Consider the following 15449-nt stretch of genomic DNA (forward strand, 5'->3'; position numbering starts at 1 on the left):
AGCCTTATGCAAGGTTTAATAACTTTAGATGTTCACAGTATCTGCCCCTGCTCTGCGCTACCACCCCTCTTCAATGTCTAAGGACAGATCTGTAAACACATGTGACACACAAATAGAGTGGTCTAAAAGCAGTCCTCAGAATTCTGTAATCCAAAAAGGAGAGAAATCCTTCTAAGGTGTGAAGCAACGGACAGAAACAAAATGACCAAAGTCAGTTTCACCACATTTAAGCCCAATTCTGAAAAATGCAGGCAGGCTTCTCCTTTTTAACTACTAGGTGGAGAGGGCACCTCCATGTGGAACATTCGAAGGGCAGAAACAGCTCACCAGGTCAGGAAAGCCAGCAGGCAAAGTCTGTTGGCAGGAGACCGTTGGCAGGAAGGTGTGGTAGGGAAAGTGCCACCCCACGGGCCTGACCCTCCCGCCTGCCTGCCCTTCCAAAGGCCTCCTCCACCTTCAACCAGGTCCCATTTTTCCAGGCCAGAGTCTTAAAGGATGTTTGCTTCCCTTTGCTGGCCTGAGGACAAGGCTAATTTTACTCAACAAAGTAAAAAGGATGGAAAGAACACACTGAAAAGAACAGGCTGAACAACCACCTGTATGGGTAGAGCCATTTAAAAATCATTCAAACACAGGCACAGAAAACACCTCAACAAATGTCTATCAAAGTCTTAGCAGTATCTCAGGGGTAGAATGAAAAGTCGTTAAAGTTGTTAAAGTTCTGTGTTATTTAAATAAAATAAGCATTACTTTTGCAGGCAGAAAGACAATTCGGAGATTAAAATATTTTTAAAGAGAGAAAATAGGAGACCTGCTTTGATTGATTTTTTTAAAACCTTCTACCACGCCTTGCTCAGCCTCTCAGCCCCCACACCTGGGGTAGAATTTCTTCATCCAAAAAACGGGATAGGGGCTGGGAGAAAGAAATGCCAGTACCCGGACAGCCACTGTGGGCCGGGCACTGTGCTGGGAGCTTTAGCCACATCGTCCACCCTTCCACTTGGTTGAAGAAGAGTAAAACAGTCCCCCTTACCTGCAGTTTCACTTTCTGCAGTTTCAATTACCCACAGTCAACAGTGGTCTGAAAATATTAAGTGAAAAACTCTAGAAATGAACAATTCAGAAGTTCAAAATTTCCCACGGCTCTGAGTAGCATGATGACATCCTGCTGTACCGCCCCAGACGTAAATCATCCCTTTATCCAGTGAATCCACTGTCTACACCGCCCACCCCATAGTCACGTAGTTGCCTTCTTAGTGATCACACAGTTGCAGTCCTTGTGTTCAAGTCACCCTTATCTGACTTAATAATGGCCCCAAAGCGCAAGAGTAGTGATGCTGTCAATTCCATTATCCCAAAGAGAAGTTGCCAAATGCTTCCTTTAAGTGAAAAGGTGAAAGTTCTTGATCTAATAAGGAACGAAAAAAAACTGTATGCTGAGGTTACTAAGATCTACAGTAAGAACAAACCTTCTATCTGTAAAATTGTGAAGGAAAAATAAATGCTAGTTTTACTGTCACACCTCAAACTGCAAAAGTTACAGCCACAGTGTGTAGTAAGTGCTTAGTTAAGATGGAAAAGGCATTAAATTTGTGAGTGGAAGACATGAACAGTATTGGTTTTTTGTTTGTTTGTTTTTTTATGAGACGGAGTCTCGCTCTGTCGCCCAGGCTACAGCACTGTGGCGCGATCTCAGCTCACTGCAAGCTCTGCCTCCCGGGTTCACACCATTCTCCTGCCTCAGCCTCCCGAGTAGCTGGGACTACAGGTGCCCGCCACCGCGCCCGGCTAATTTTTTGTATTTTTAGTAGAGACAGGTTTCACCGTGTTAGCCAGGATGGTCTCGATCTCTTGACCTCGTGATCCACCTGCCTCGGCCTCCCAAAGTGCTAGGATTACAGGCGTGAGCCACTGTGCCCAGGCTTTTTTTTTTTTTTTTTTTTTTTGTATTTTTGGTGGAGATGTTGCCCCGGCTGGTCTCAAGCTCCTGAGCTCAAGCGATCCACCCACCTCAGCATCACAGAGTGCAGGGATTACAGGCATGAGCCACCAAGTTCTGATCAACGGTACTAACCGCAGTTTCAGGCATCCACTCGGGGTCTTGGCACACATTCCCCACGGATAGGGGAGGATGGCTGTATCACTCCTTAAGAGCAACAGGCAGCCAGGGACCCCAGCTCAACACCCACCGACACATGATGTCTACTGTGTTCTGAACATGCATAAGCATATAATTTGAACTGCATTGTTAGCCTTCAGGAAAGGGGCACCAGGAGCTGTGCTGGCCAGGTACCTAGATCATTTACTGTTCAAAACCAACCCAGGAGCTGAGCTACTGAGCTCAGCCTCCCTCTCTCAAGGCTGGGAAAGGAAAGTTCATCTTCACTCAGATGCAAGCTTCAAGTAGGCAGAGCAGCTGTCTCTTATTCACCCCTGGGCGGGGGCGGGGGGGGGAGGGGCGGGTTCCAGCACAGCACGTGGCTCATGGGCTGAGCCTCCAGAAGTATTGTTAGTGGATGGGAGAATGGATCTTCATATGGGCTTAGAGAGGTGAAGGGACTTGCACAAGGTCACCCAGCTAGTAAGCAGGGGGTGGAGCCCACTTTCAGGTCCAAACTGGCAAGCCTCAGCATAGGTCACTGTTGCTTTGCAAACTGGCAACCCTCAGCATAGGTCACACAGAGGGACAACTGAACGTTGTAGGACCAGGCTCTGCCTCCTTCTCTCTCCCCCGACCCACCTGCCACTCCTTGGAGCTCCTGGCTGAGGCGGAGCTTCACCCAGCCTGAGCTGAGCATGGGCATCCAGAGGCACTCCAGTCGGGGTCTGTTTCACAGAAGCAGGCCCTTCGTGAATATGCATGAGGGGCATGAGCTGGCTTCCACGCATGCTTCCTGCTCACCTCATCCTAAATCCTAAACCCGCAGGGCCATTGCCCCCTTGACTTGAGCACTAGGGTAAAATCTATTTTTGTAAAAACCTGATGGAACTTTTACTTAAAATAAGAGTTTTAAGTGTTTATGGAAACGAAATCTATCTTTTAGAAGCCACTGCATAAATACTTAACTGAAGAAGAGTTTGGAATGGGGCAAGCCTGAGTAGGAATCCGAATGCTATGGATCACCAGAAACATCATAACAGGCGAATTACCTACCCTCACTGAGCCTCAGTTTTCTTGTCTCTAAAACTAGGATAATAACACCTAGCTCACTGGGGTGAATGAAGATTAAGTCATTACATTTAAGTGAGATGATGCATTGACTTAATGTCTTGAATACTGTCTCTGGCACACAGCAATGAATAAATATGTGCTATTACTACTGATTCTATTAATGATACAATCATAAAAATGACTGCACAAGAAGGGACCTGCAGTCTCGGCTACTCAGGAGGCTGAGGAAGGAGGATCACCTGAGCCCAGGGCTTTGAGGCTGCAGTGAGCTGTGATCACACCTGTGAATGAGCCACTGCACTCCAGCCTGGGCAAGATACCCCATCTCTTTAAAAAAAAAAAATTAAGGCCAGGCGCGGTGGCTCATGCCTGTAATACTAGCACTTTGGGAGGCCGAGGCAGGTGGATCACGAGGTCAGGAGATTGAGACCATCCTGGCTAACACGGTGAAACCCCGTCTCTACTAAAAATACAAAAAAAAAAAATTAGCCAGGCGTGGTGGCGGGCGCCTGTAGTCCCAGCTACTCAGGAGGCTGAGGCAGGAGAATGGCGTGAACCTGGGAGGCGGAGCTTGCAGTGAGCTGAGATCGTGCCACTGCACTCTAGCCTGGGCGACAGAGTGAGACTCCGTCTCAAAAAAAAAAAAAATTAAAATTAAAAAAAGTCATCTGGTCCAAACCCTCAATACAGGTGGGGAAACTGAGGCCCAAGGAGGGTAAGCATGTTAGATAACTCCTGATAGTCCAACAGCATTTACTGCAGTGTTTAAAAAATAGTAGGCACGAAGTAAGCGCATTGAATAAATAATAACCACATATGAAACAACATATTCACCTATTCACCTAATGTGCTTCAAAACAGTTAAAAACAGGTCCAGTTGAATGGCATTCCCTCTGGCTCCTATCCAGAAGAATTCTTTAAAGAAAAGTTCTCAATGGGAGTCAACATTCATCAGCACCCGCACTGTTCGCTAAGGCAGCCACTAGCCTTCGATAATTTCAATTTATCAAATTGAATTCACTGATACTGAAATTTCAGTCCACTAAAATGAAATAAAACCAAATATTCAGTTCCTCAATCACACTAGCCACATTTCAAGTGCTCAAGAGCTGTATGTGGATAGTGATTATGGAACAGCCCAGATATAGAACATTTCCATCATCACAGAAAGTTCCAGTGGACAGCACAGCTGCAAAGAGAAGATATCATTAATGTGTAATTTCTGTTCTCATCCAGCAGATTTAGTTTCCTAAATCCTATTGCAAGGCAGCAGGAAGGGAAAGACCTCGTTAGCCTTGCTTTATTATGCAAATCTGCATATTCCTGTCAAGTCCAATCTCCCTCAGAAAGTTCAAATAGAGTATTATTAGGTGGCTGCGCGGGTCTACAGGGCAATGTCTGGGGTCTGAGGGCAGGTGAGAGTACACAGGATTTTATGAAAATGTGTTCTGTGCAAACACCTCACTTGTGCCGCTCTTCTCCACACCAGCAAACTGAGCATTCTTTAACACAGTTCGGCAACCGCTGGCCAAGCCTCACTTACATAAGAGTGCCATAAAAGACTGGGTCGGCTGCTTCTGCAAAACACCTGTGGTTTTGCAAAAGGATGTGATTTCTTAGAAGTCAGTAAACAGGCTCATTTCCTTTACAGTTAAATTTTGGCATCAGAATACCAAAATACTCTATGACCCCACCTAAGCTCACATAACCTTACTCCCCACCTTAAATGGTTGGGAGAGCAAAAGGCCCTGTGAGCTGGAACTGCCCAGGGTGCCAGCCTTGCTGCTGGGCCAGTGGCCACCATGCCCACCTCCACCACTTTCCTTTGAGGCCCCAGGAGGCTGGTACACACTCCAGGAGCCAGGAAGACCACTTGGCACCCTTAGCTCCTGGGACACTAGAACACATGGCCAAGTTATAAAGACTTCATATGCATCTTCTCATCTGGAGGTGAGGCCCTTTCAAAGCACACAGGGTGGAGAAACGTGGATAATATTTCACCCTCTATGTTAAAAAGAGGAGAAATGAAATATATTTGTATTTGCTTGTTATGCCTAAAGAAATGAGGACAGCAGGCCAGGCACGGTGGCTTATGCCTGTAATCCCAACATTTTGGAAGGTCAAGGTGGGCAGATCACTTGAGACCAGGAGTTTGAGCCGGGCCAACATGGTGAACCCCTATCTCTACTAAAAATACAAAAAAAAAAAAAAAAATTAGCTGGATGTGGTGGTGCACACCTGTAATCTCAGCTACTCAGGAGGCTGAGGCAGGAGAATTGCTTTAACCTGGGAGACAGAGGTTGTAGTGAGCCAAGATCATGCCACTGCACTCCAGCCTGGGCAACAGAGCAAGACTCTGTCGAAAAAGGGAAGAAAGAAAAGAGAAAAGAAAGAGAGGAGCAAAGGAGGAAAGGAAGAAAGAAAACCGAAAAAGAAAAAGTCCACATAAAAGCTTATCTCTGAAGATTTTTTTTTTTTTTTTTTTTGAGATGGAGTCTCGCTCTGTCGCCCAGGCTGGAGTGCAGTGGTGCAATCTCGGCTCACTGCAAGCTCCACCTCCCGGGTTCACGCCATTCTCCTGCCTCAGCCTCCCGAGTAGCTGGGACTACAGGTGCCCGCCACCATGCCCGGCTAATTTTTTGTATTTCTAGTAGAGACGGGGTTTCACCGTTGTTAGCCAGGATGGTCTCGATCTCTTGACCTCGTGATCCACCCGCCTCGGCCTCCCAAAATGCTGGGATTACAGGTGTAAGCCACCGCACCCGGCCCTATCTGTGAAGATTTATAACAGATTTACTCTCAACATCCAAAAACTGGAGGCAACCCAAATGTTCATCAACTGCTGAATGGTACGTCCATACCATGGAATACTATGGAATGCTCTACAGCAAGAAAAGGAAATATTAATACATGCAACATGAATGAATCAAATAAATCATGTTACACGAAAGAGGTCAAACACAAAAGACTCCATACTATCTGCTTCCATTTATTTACAATTATAGAAAAGGCAAAACCGCGGTGACAAAGCAGATCAGTGGTTGTCTAGGGATGGGGAACAAGGCTGTCTAGGAGGGGGAAAAGGGCCAAAGGGGCATGAAGGGACTTTTTAGGGTGAGGAAACTGTTCTATAACTCGATTGTGGTGGTGGCAACATGATTAGTACCAAAACTCAAACTGTACACTTAAAGCTGGTTAATTTTATTACTTGCAAATAATACCCTGATTAAAAACAAAAAAAAGAAGACCCTAGAAATCTTAGCTGTGGTTGGCAGGGGAGAGTGGAAGACACTGGGCATGTGAGAAGAGAAGGCAGTGTTTTATGTGTGTTGTGGTCTGAATGCTGGTACCCCCTCAAAATTCATATGCTGAAACATAATCCCCAATGCCAGAGTTAAGAGGTGAGGCCTTTAAGAGGTGATTAGATCATGAGGGCCCCACCTTCATGAATGACATTAATGCCCCTATAAGAGGCCCAGGGGAGCTGGCCAGCCCCTTCCACCATGTGAGGCGCTGTCTATGATGCAGAGAACAAGCCTTTGCCAAACACTGAGTCTGCCAAGACCTTGCTTACGGACTTCCCAGCCTTCAGAACTGTGAGTAATCAATTTCTGTTGTGTACAAATTATTCAGTTTAAGGTATTTGTTCCAGGAGCCCAAACAGACTAAGACAATGTATATATTTTTATTTTTGAAACCTGTGACTGAATTGCCTATTCCAAACTTGAGCTCTAATTCTTTCAAAGCCAACTGCAGAGGTGACTCTGTGCAATGGCTCAGGTAGAAGTGGTGTGGTCCATTGCTGGGTTCCTGTTGGTCAGGGATATAGGCACCAAAAGCTTAGAGGGTGGGGAGAATGAAAACCTCTGGATCTAACCAGAGCTGAATGTAGAAAACCATCTATCTCCTCTCCTCCCAGAAGCCAGTGCCTCCTGTCCTGGGCCTCTGGGCTCATGTGATAAAGACAAGAGCTACCATTTATTGGGCACTTACTATGTCCCAGGTGCTACGACTCATTTGACGTGCATTAACTCATTAACAGTGATAAGACCAACAACATGTACGGAGCCCTATATGTGCTAGGTATGACAGGCCTTCTTACCTGCTTGACCTCATTTAATTAGCCTCAAATCGATCCTATGACAAGGAACCAGTCCCAGAGAGTTAAGTGAAGCCCAAGGCTACACAGCTAAAAGTGTAAGGGAACAAAGATTTAAACCCAGGCAGTCTGGCCCCAGGAGCCCAGCTACCATCCATGACCAAGGACAACCCTTTTATTGGGACAGAGGCGACACTAATCACTGCACGCACTTAGGCTGAGGTGTGGTGGGTGGAGGATCAGACTCAGAGGTGAATCTGTGCTCCTGGCCTACTCCACCAGCTCCACAGCTCCGCCAGGAGGGTCTTTCACTCCCACACTGGGGAGGCAGAGCCAGATGCATGGAGCTATTCAAGGTCCTGCCTAGCTCCAAAGCCCTTACTCTTTGCACTAGACCAGGCTGCTTCCTTGGCTAATAAACAGTGAGAGCTGAAACCCAAACAAAAACAAGCAGCACACGTGAAGACAAAATGTTCCTGAGCTGCAACGTTTTTCAATCTTTTGAGCTCATAGATCACATGTCTAGGTCAGAGTCCTGAGCTTCCTCACGGCGCAGGTGATGTGAGAGGGGCTGAGTAACCTCGAGGTACCACTGAATGGCATCCTGCAGTCACTCAAAACGTGTGAGCCTGGAGGGACCCTGGTGCTCACATGGTCTGATATGCAAAGAAGAAAAAGAGGCATGGGGGATCGGGAATAGTTCAACATCACCCAGCACATCAGAGGCCAGGATGCAGTCCCAAGTCACGCTCCAGACTCCTGGTACAGTGCTCTTTTCACGCCTGCAGCATTTCCCATGGCATGCTGTGCAGGCCAATGGGGTTTAAGGGAGGTTTTAGAGAGCATATGGATGAATGCAGTTTAATAATTACCTATATTTAATATTCATAGGAAAAATATAACTAGCACATCAAACATGATTTTGTAGATGTTTCTGCTTACGAAGAGGCTAGATAGCGGTGTTAGGCTCAGGCCAAAGTTTTTTGTTTTTGTTTTTGAGAGAGGGTGTTGTTCTGTCACCCAGGCTGGAATGCAGGAGTTATTCATAGGAAAAATCCTAACACACAAGCTCCAGGGATCCTCCCGCCTCAGCCTCCCAAGTAGCTGGGACTCCAGATGCACCATCACACCCAGCTTTTATTTATTTATTTATTTATTTTGTAGAGATTGGGTCTCACTATGTTGCCTAGGCTGGTCCCAAGTGATCCTCCCACCTTGGCCTCCCGAAGTGCTGAGATCCACCATGCCTGGCAACTACGGGCACTGTGCCCAGCCCTCAAGCCAATTTTAAGGAAAGCCTCAAATAAATAATAATAAAAGTAGCATACAAATCCAGCAAACATTGTGCTGGTAGACAGCCACACTGGGCTCATTCCTGCAGTGCAGCAGGCTAAAGCAAGAAGGAATAAAAGGAAAGATAAAGCAAACAGAAGGGAGAAGGGAGGCAAAGAGAGGAACAGTCCCCTCCAGCGGCTCAGCTCTTGCGCTGAGGAGTGAGGCCCCCACAGCAGAGGACACGGATGTGCCACACTCATTCTCCCTACAAACTTATCTAGCCTAAGTCACCGCTCTTCTCACCCCAAACGTGCTAAGGTCCAAAGGTCCAAACACTGTGTATCAGCCCAATCACAGGGAGCAAATGGCCCTTTAACACCCGCCCTGAGACTACTATCAGAATGGCCTCCCTCTATCCCAGTATGTGGGACAGGTATCAGCTCAGATATTTAATCCATTTTCTTGCCTGAGTGATTCAGGTGTCCCCATTAAATTCTCTTCCATCTGCTGCATGCTTCCCAGTGCAGAGAGGCCAGAGGGCCCCCGAAAGCCTCCCCATTCACAAAAGCCCAAATGACCAGGGCTGTTTTGGTTTAAAGCACAATTTGGGTTCACATAACACCTCATTATGCTTCCCCGACATCGTTTCCACACCAGCATCAGATGCTGGGAACTAGAGCTTGAAAACACTGCAGGGCCGCAGAGCTCTCAAGAGCTGTGCCCATTCCACCCCTGCAGGGCCTAAGAATGCAGCCCTCAGCCAGGCGCAGTGGCTCACGCCTGTAATCCCAACACTTTGAGAGGCTGAGGCAGGAGGATCCCTTGAGCTCAGGAGTCCAAGGCTGCTGTGAGCTATGATTGAGCCACTGCACTCCAGCCTGGGTGACAGAGTGAGACCCCGCCTCCTAAAAAAGGGGGCTAGGCACTGACAATATGAACTCCAAACTATGCATATAGACTAAGACGCTGAAACAATATATTGAAAGGTTAACAGTGCTGCTGGCAAGCTAAGATTATGAATTATTTTTGTTTCTTCCCTCTTTTCTATATTTTCAAACTTTTCCATAATAAACATACTGCTTTTATAACAAAACAAAAAAACACAATAAACTTTTATTTAATGATACTATCAGGTTACAAAGGGCTCCCTCCTGATGGGGAGAGGGGTCCCTTGCCACTGGTGCTCACACTCAACCAAGCGCCATCCACTCCCCTCCACTAGCCTGTGGGCCTTTCACTAGCTCGGGGTCCCCAAGGCCTGGAACATAGGAGGCGCTCAGGGAATGATGATACACAGGGGTTGGGGGTGGAGTCGTGAAAAGGAAGTCAATGATAAACTCTGAGGTATCAGCTGTGCGGCAGGGTGGGGCGGAGCAGGGCAGGGCAGAGCAGGGCAGGGCAGGAGAGTGTACTGAAATAGAAGAGGGTAAATCAGAGCCTCCTTCCACCCAGGACTTCCTTCTCAGCATGGCCCTGCCTCCCACCCAGCTGCTTTGAAAGCTCTCCCACCCCTCACTCTTCTGGCTCCTCTGAGTTTAAATTAGTCATTTCCCCAGCACCCGCCATGCCCTCCTGGGCCACTGAGTCGGCACACGCCGTCTCTCTGCCTGCCATGTCTCTGGGCCCACCTCTCCTCCTCCTGGCAAATGAGCCCTCTCACCTCCACTTCAACAAAATCGGTCCCCTGGGACCCGTGCCTTGAATCTCTCAGCGAGACGCCTCCTTCAATGTACGGCTGCACTCAGACACAGCCCCTGACAGCAATTATCTTCCATTCTACAAGTCTGTCCGTCTGTCTGACTGGCTCCCACCAATGGTCTCCATATAGCGACGGCAAGTACCTTTTCATGCCCACCCCCAAGCTGGGCACACAATATTAATCAATGTCTCTTTGAATGAATGGACAGGGAGACGGGTACGAAGGCCAGCAGTAGTCAAAGGAAGCTTGGCGGTGAAGACGGGATAGGGCCAAGCCCTGAAAGGTAAGACAGAAAGACACAGGCAGGAGGGAACAGGCAGGGAAGGGGGAGCCACAAGCTGGTGGTGGCCAGAGGATTGTGGGTGCTCTACAGATGAACATCTTTTACGGCAGTAGATGACTATATGTTTATTTCAGTGTGTACTTTCTATATACAGCAATTGATATTGTTTTCCATTCATGGTAAGGACAAAGTTTCCTTCCTAAATAATTTAAGTTAAAAAGTGAGGAAACTTAAAGAAAAAATTAATAAATAACAGTTCTGGCATAGAGATTAATACAGCAAAAACCATGAGCTAACCTTAGAACACATTTTTGCAGGAAGGGAGTCCTCTCAACTTGGCCAGAACAGGGAGATTGAGGAAGTGAAGTGAAGCCTGCTAGGCAGGGAGGATGAGTCAGCTCAGAGGGCTCTGGGGACAGGCAGTGAGGCGGCGGCCACGGAGAGAGCATTTGTCAGAGCAAAGTGACCGGTTCAAGAAGGTGCAGAGAGAAAAAATACTCTACACTCTCCCTCCTGGGGACTTATCTCAAGGAAGGAAGATACTCAAAAGGAGGAAAAGAATACACACACACACACACACACACACACACACACACACACACACACGCCCGCCCACTGCAAGCAACAGAGAGCACAGTAAAGGGCTTGCAAATTGTTCACTTCTGTAATGCCCACAAGCACCCAGGTCGGGGGGTATTCCACAGAACCACAAGCCCAGGACAGACGGACTACTGTGCTTCACTCAACACTAGCACATCTTCCAAACTACAACACCGTCTTCACATGTCACATGTTAATGGCTGCATTCCATTCCATTGTGGCTTGAGCACAAGAGTTTGAGACCAGACTGGGCAACACGGTGAAACCCCGTCTCTACAAAAAATACAAAAATTGCTGGGTGCGGTAGAGCAAATCTGCAGTCCCAGCTACTCGGGAGGCTGAGGCAAGAGGACTGCTTGAGCCCGGGAGGTGGAGGCTGCAGTGTGCTGTCACCACGCCACTGCACTGTAGCCTGAGCAAAAGCATGAGACGCTGTCGCCAAAAAATAAAAAATAAAAAATAGTCCATTGCATAGATGTGCCACCATTTTTACCTACTGTTGGACAACCACTTTCTCCAGTGTCTTGTTACGATGATTCCTGTCCCTATGTACCCCATAAACATGAGCTACAGATCAAAGGGACCTGGGCTTGAATCTGGACCTTTCCTTAGATTTCTTCTTGAACTCAGGCCATTGGCATTCTGACTGTTCGACCCAATTGCCACGAAGCTCTCTCACAATGTCCTATTTGGAAAATGTGGTCTTTCCATGCATCACTGAAAAAGGATGTTCAAAGATGAGCTTTGAAACAGGCCTAAGTTTATGTGGCAGAAAAGACTCACACAAGAGTGTAGAATCTAGATTCTAGAGTGTTAGACATAGGACCTGATCCCAGTGCTCCAGTGGTTTACTGTGGGACCTTGGTCAAGCCCCAAACCCCTGTGAGCAGTAAAATTCCATGACACAGCAGAGGCTGAGGGCAAAGGCTTTTAAATTCAGAGCAGCTGGGTTCAAGACCTGACTCTGCCACTTATTGGCAATTTATATAAAGTCTAAATCTGTATCATTCTGAATTTACATAAAGGCCTAAATTCATAGGATCCCATGCTTAGAAGGATTCTGGGAAGGAAACGGAACGGTGCATGCAGAGGACCAGGTGAAGTGCACAAGAACCAATGCCACCACCTGGCCTGCCTTCCTAGCTCTGAGGCCTGCTGAATGCTAAGGCTGAGGTGTGAGCTGCTTGTACAGTGGCCCCCCTTTATCCTCGGGGGATACCTTCCAAGACCCCCAGTGGATGCCTGAAACCTTGGATAGTACCAAACCCTATATATACTGTTTTTTCCTACACATGCATACCTATGATGTTTAATTCATAAACCAGGCACAGTTATTATCAATAACTGATAACATCGAACAATTCTAACAACATACCATAATAAAAGCTACGTGCATGTGGTATTCTCTTCAAAATACTGGACTGGGGTTGATGGCGGGTGACTGAAATTGCAGAAATCGAAACTATGGAAAAAGGGGGGATGATTATACTTGTTCCAAAACGAGGCCCATCACCTAAGGCTTGGAAATCACTCTTTCCCCATTTGTTTCCCTTTAGATTCTGACATGTAATGAAATTCAAGTGGGAATTTTATCAGTTAACCCAATGCCTCAAACTGACACTGGAGTAAGTAGTCAAGCCTCTTGAAGCACTCGGAGCACAGACCCCAAGGGTGCAGGGCTGAGGATCCCACACTCACAGTATTTACATGTCTATGTTCTGACAATCAGTCACGTGATGGGAGGGCCCTTCGTTGGAACCATGGCAACCAGTTCTTGTCTGTTACGTCGAGAAATGCTTCCTCGGCTGGGCGCTGTGGCTCACACCTGTAATCCCAGCACTTTGGGAGGTCAAGGTGGGCAGATCACAAGGTCAGGAGATCAAGACCATCCTGGCTAACACGGTGAAACCCCGTCTCTACTAAAAATACCAAAAAAAATTAGCCAGGCGTGGTGGCGGGCGCCTGTAGTCCCAGCTACTCGGGAGGCTGAGACAGGAGAATGGCGTGAACCAGGAGGCAGAGCTTGCAGTGAGCCGAAATCGCTCCACTGCACTCCAGCCTGGGAGACAAAGCGAGACTCCGTCTCAAAAAAAAAAAAAAAAAAAAAAAAAAAAAAAAAAAAAAAAAAAGAAATGCTTCCTCAACAACCAATATGCATCTCACAGATAGTATGTAACCAAGATAAAAGTAGGATCCTTGAGGATATTCCCAGGATTCTCCTACGTGCTCTCCATCTGGAATACAGAAAGCTCAGAAACCATGGGCCATCAGCACACAGGGAAAACCAGTTCTGTGGCAGGCAAAAGGACAAGGGTATTCTAGTTAGAAGGTTGATAAACGCCTCCAGATAAAGTTATTAGAGGAAGGACAGATGAAATCAGTGTTTAAGAAAATGCGAGGCCTGTTTCCCAGGAATATTACCTAGTGCAAAGTAGGATGAAAAAGTAAGAGAGGTTGTCATGAACTGAGGACATGGAGACCCTACTCATCTCGAAGGCAGATGTTGCCATCTACAGCCTAGAGCTCTAAACCCTCTGAGGTTAGGGATCTCTTTCAACATCTCTGGGTGGCTCAAACCCTTGGGGCATGAACTAATAACCTGTCGGTTATGTAGGCAGGCAGCAGACTGTGGCCTCTGCTCGTCCCTGGCCGCAGGTGTAACACAGCCAGGGCAAGGAACCAGCTGGTCCTGAGTGTGAACACCAGCTTAGCCAATGACAGCTTTATCCTCATACTATGCTCTATTATTCCAGAGTCTGCCTGGATGTGTGCAGAGAAGAGGAGGAGAAAGGGAAGTGAGGGGCAGGACTATGCAGTACCCAAGGACTCAAAGGTGATTCCAGACCCTGACTACCGATTAGTAGTTACTATGTAGAGAATGAGGTTCCATTTTAGATGAAGAGCTGCAACTACTGCGCTTTCATTCTTCATTTTTTTTTTTTTTTTTTTTTTTTTTGAGCTGGAGTCTTGCTCTGTCACCCAGGCTGGAGTGCAGTGGCACGATCTCGGCTCACTGCAAGCTCCGCCTCCTGGGTTCACGCCATTCTCCTGCCTCAGCCTCCTGAGTAGCTAGGACTACAGGCGCCCGCCATCACACCCGGCTAATTTTTTGTACTTTTAGTAGAGACGGGATTTCATCATGTTAGCCAGGATGGTCTGGATCTCCTGACCTCATGATCCGCCCGCCTCGGCCTCCCAAAGTGCTGGGATTACAGGTGTGAGCCACAGTGCCCGGCCCATTCTTCCTGCATTTTAAGATGGGTTCCAAGTCATTAAAGCAAAACTGAGGGAGTCACCTAAGAAATACTCCACTTTCAGCTGCAGAAGTTTAAAAAACTCTAAAGAACATCTGTTGCAATCACTAACATAAAGCACTTTCCCCTGTACATGAAAATGACATCCTTGGATCAGACTCCAGGGTGCCTGCGAGGGACAAGTTTTAGAATCTGAAAGGAATGGCTTGAAAGGCCATCTCTGCCCCTTCCTAGCTGTGTGATGTTTTACAAGTATTTTTTAACTTTTCAAGGCCTCCATATCCACATCTGCAAAATGGGGGCATGCCAAGGCTATGGTAGTAATTGCATAAAATAATAACTACAAGGTTAAGCACAGAGGCCAGCCTAATCCAAGTCCCCTTGCATGATAAACCCCATAAGCAGAAGTGCAAAGGCCTGATCAGCTTAAAGGAGTGGCCCAAGAGCAAGCACCCTAGAGCCTGAAAGTCAGGATCTGTCCTTAGTGTGATCACTATTGCTTGCATTTTAGATGTACAGTATCCTTCAGCACAGTGATTTTTAGATCTGGCTGGGCATGGTGGCTCACACCTGTAATCCCAGCACTTTGGGAGGCCGAGGCAGGTGGATCACCTGAGGTCAGGAGTTCGAGACCAGCCTGCCCAACATGGCAAAACCCCATCTCTACTAAAAATACAAAAATCAGCCGGGCATAGTGGCACGTGCCTGTAATCCCAGCTACTTGGGAGGCTGAGGCAGGAGAATCACTTGAACCCAGAAGGCGGAAGTTGCAGTGAGCTGAGACCACGCCATTGCACTCCAGCCTAGGCAAAGAGAATGAAATTCTGTCTTAAAAAAAAGAGAGAGATTTTTAGACCCAATCCAATGGTGTTAATAGCATGACAAATGATGGAATTCCTATGGACAATCACAAGCCTGTATTAAATGTCCACATGGGAGAACTAAGCTATAGCATTTTATGTACATTCTTTTTTTTTTTTGAGACAGGGTCTCACTCCATCACCCAGACTGGAAGGCAGTGATGTGATCTCGGCTCACTGCAACTTCTACCTCCCAGGCTCAAATGA

At 47.1% G+C, this 15449-nt stretch overlaps 1 protein-coding gene across 8 annotated transcripts in view, besides 6 other annotated features; it reads right to left on the reverse strand.

Annotated features, from left to right (window-relative positions):
• The window catches only part of CAPZB (capping actin protein of muscle Z-line subunit beta), a 146765-nt gene that overhangs the window by 119877 nt on the left and 11439 nt on the right, over positions 1-15449 (reverse strand). The gene's annotated exons all lie outside the window — the stretch shown is intronic.
• Positions 2257-2757: an enhancer, noted in NCBI's record as "H3K4me1 hESC enhancer chr1:19787402-19787902 (GRCh37/hg19 assembly coordinates)". NCBI's record gives its function as "activates a minimal SCP1, AML or CMV promoter by ChIP-STARR-seq in naive H9 embryonic stem cells {active_cell/tissue: H9 hESC(naive)}" and the evidence as "EXISTENCE:reporter gene assay evidence [ECO:0000049][PMID:30033119]".
• Positions 2758-3258: an enhancer, noted in NCBI's record as "H3K4me1 hESC enhancer chr1:19787903-19788403 (GRCh37/hg19 assembly coordinates)". NCBI's record gives its function as "activates a minimal SCP1, AML or CMV promoter by ChIP-STARR-seq in naive H9 embryonic stem cells {active_cell/tissue: H9 hESC(naive)}" and the evidence as "EXISTENCE:reporter gene assay evidence [ECO:0000049][PMID:30033119]".
• Positions 9724-10018: an enhancer, noted in NCBI's record as "tiled region #3035; K562 Activating DNase unmatched - State 1:Tss". NCBI's record gives its function as "activates a minimal TATA promoter and a strong SV40 promoter by Sharpr-MPRA in K562 cells {active_cell/tissue: K562}" and the evidence as "EXISTENCE:reporter gene assay evidence [ECO:0000049][PMID:27701403]".
• Positions 9747-9796: a silencer, noted in NCBI's record as "silent region_354". NCBI's record gives its function as "represses an Ori minimal core promoter by ATAC-STARR-seq in GM12878 lymphoblastoid cells {active_cell/tissue: GM12878}" and the evidence as "EXISTENCE:reporter gene assay evidence [ECO:0000049][PMID:35858748]".
• Positions 10397-11187: an enhancer, noted in NCBI's record as "H3K27ac-H3K4me1 hESC enhancer chr1:19795542-19796332 (GRCh37/hg19 assembly coordinates)". NCBI's record gives its function as "activates a minimal SCP1, AML or CMV promoter by ChIP-STARR-seq in naive H9 embryonic stem cells {active_cell/tissue: H9 hESC(naive)}" and the evidence as "EXISTENCE:reporter gene assay evidence [ECO:0000049][PMID:30033119]".
• Positions 11188-11977: an enhancer, noted in NCBI's record as "H3K4me1 hESC enhancer chr1:19796333-19797122 (GRCh37/hg19 assembly coordinates)". NCBI's record gives its function as "activates a minimal SCP1, AML or CMV promoter by ChIP-STARR-seq in primed H9 embryonic stem cells {active_cell/tissue: H9 hESC(primed)}" and the evidence as "EXISTENCE:reporter gene assay evidence [ECO:0000049][PMID:30033119]".

This window comes from Homo sapiens, chromosome 1 (genome assembly GCF_000001405.40).
Source record: "Homo sapiens chromosome 1, GRCh38.p14 Primary Assembly".
In the NCBI taxonomy this organism is placed as follows: Eukaryota; Metazoa; Chordata; class Mammalia; order Primates; family Hominidae; genus Homo; species Homo sapiens.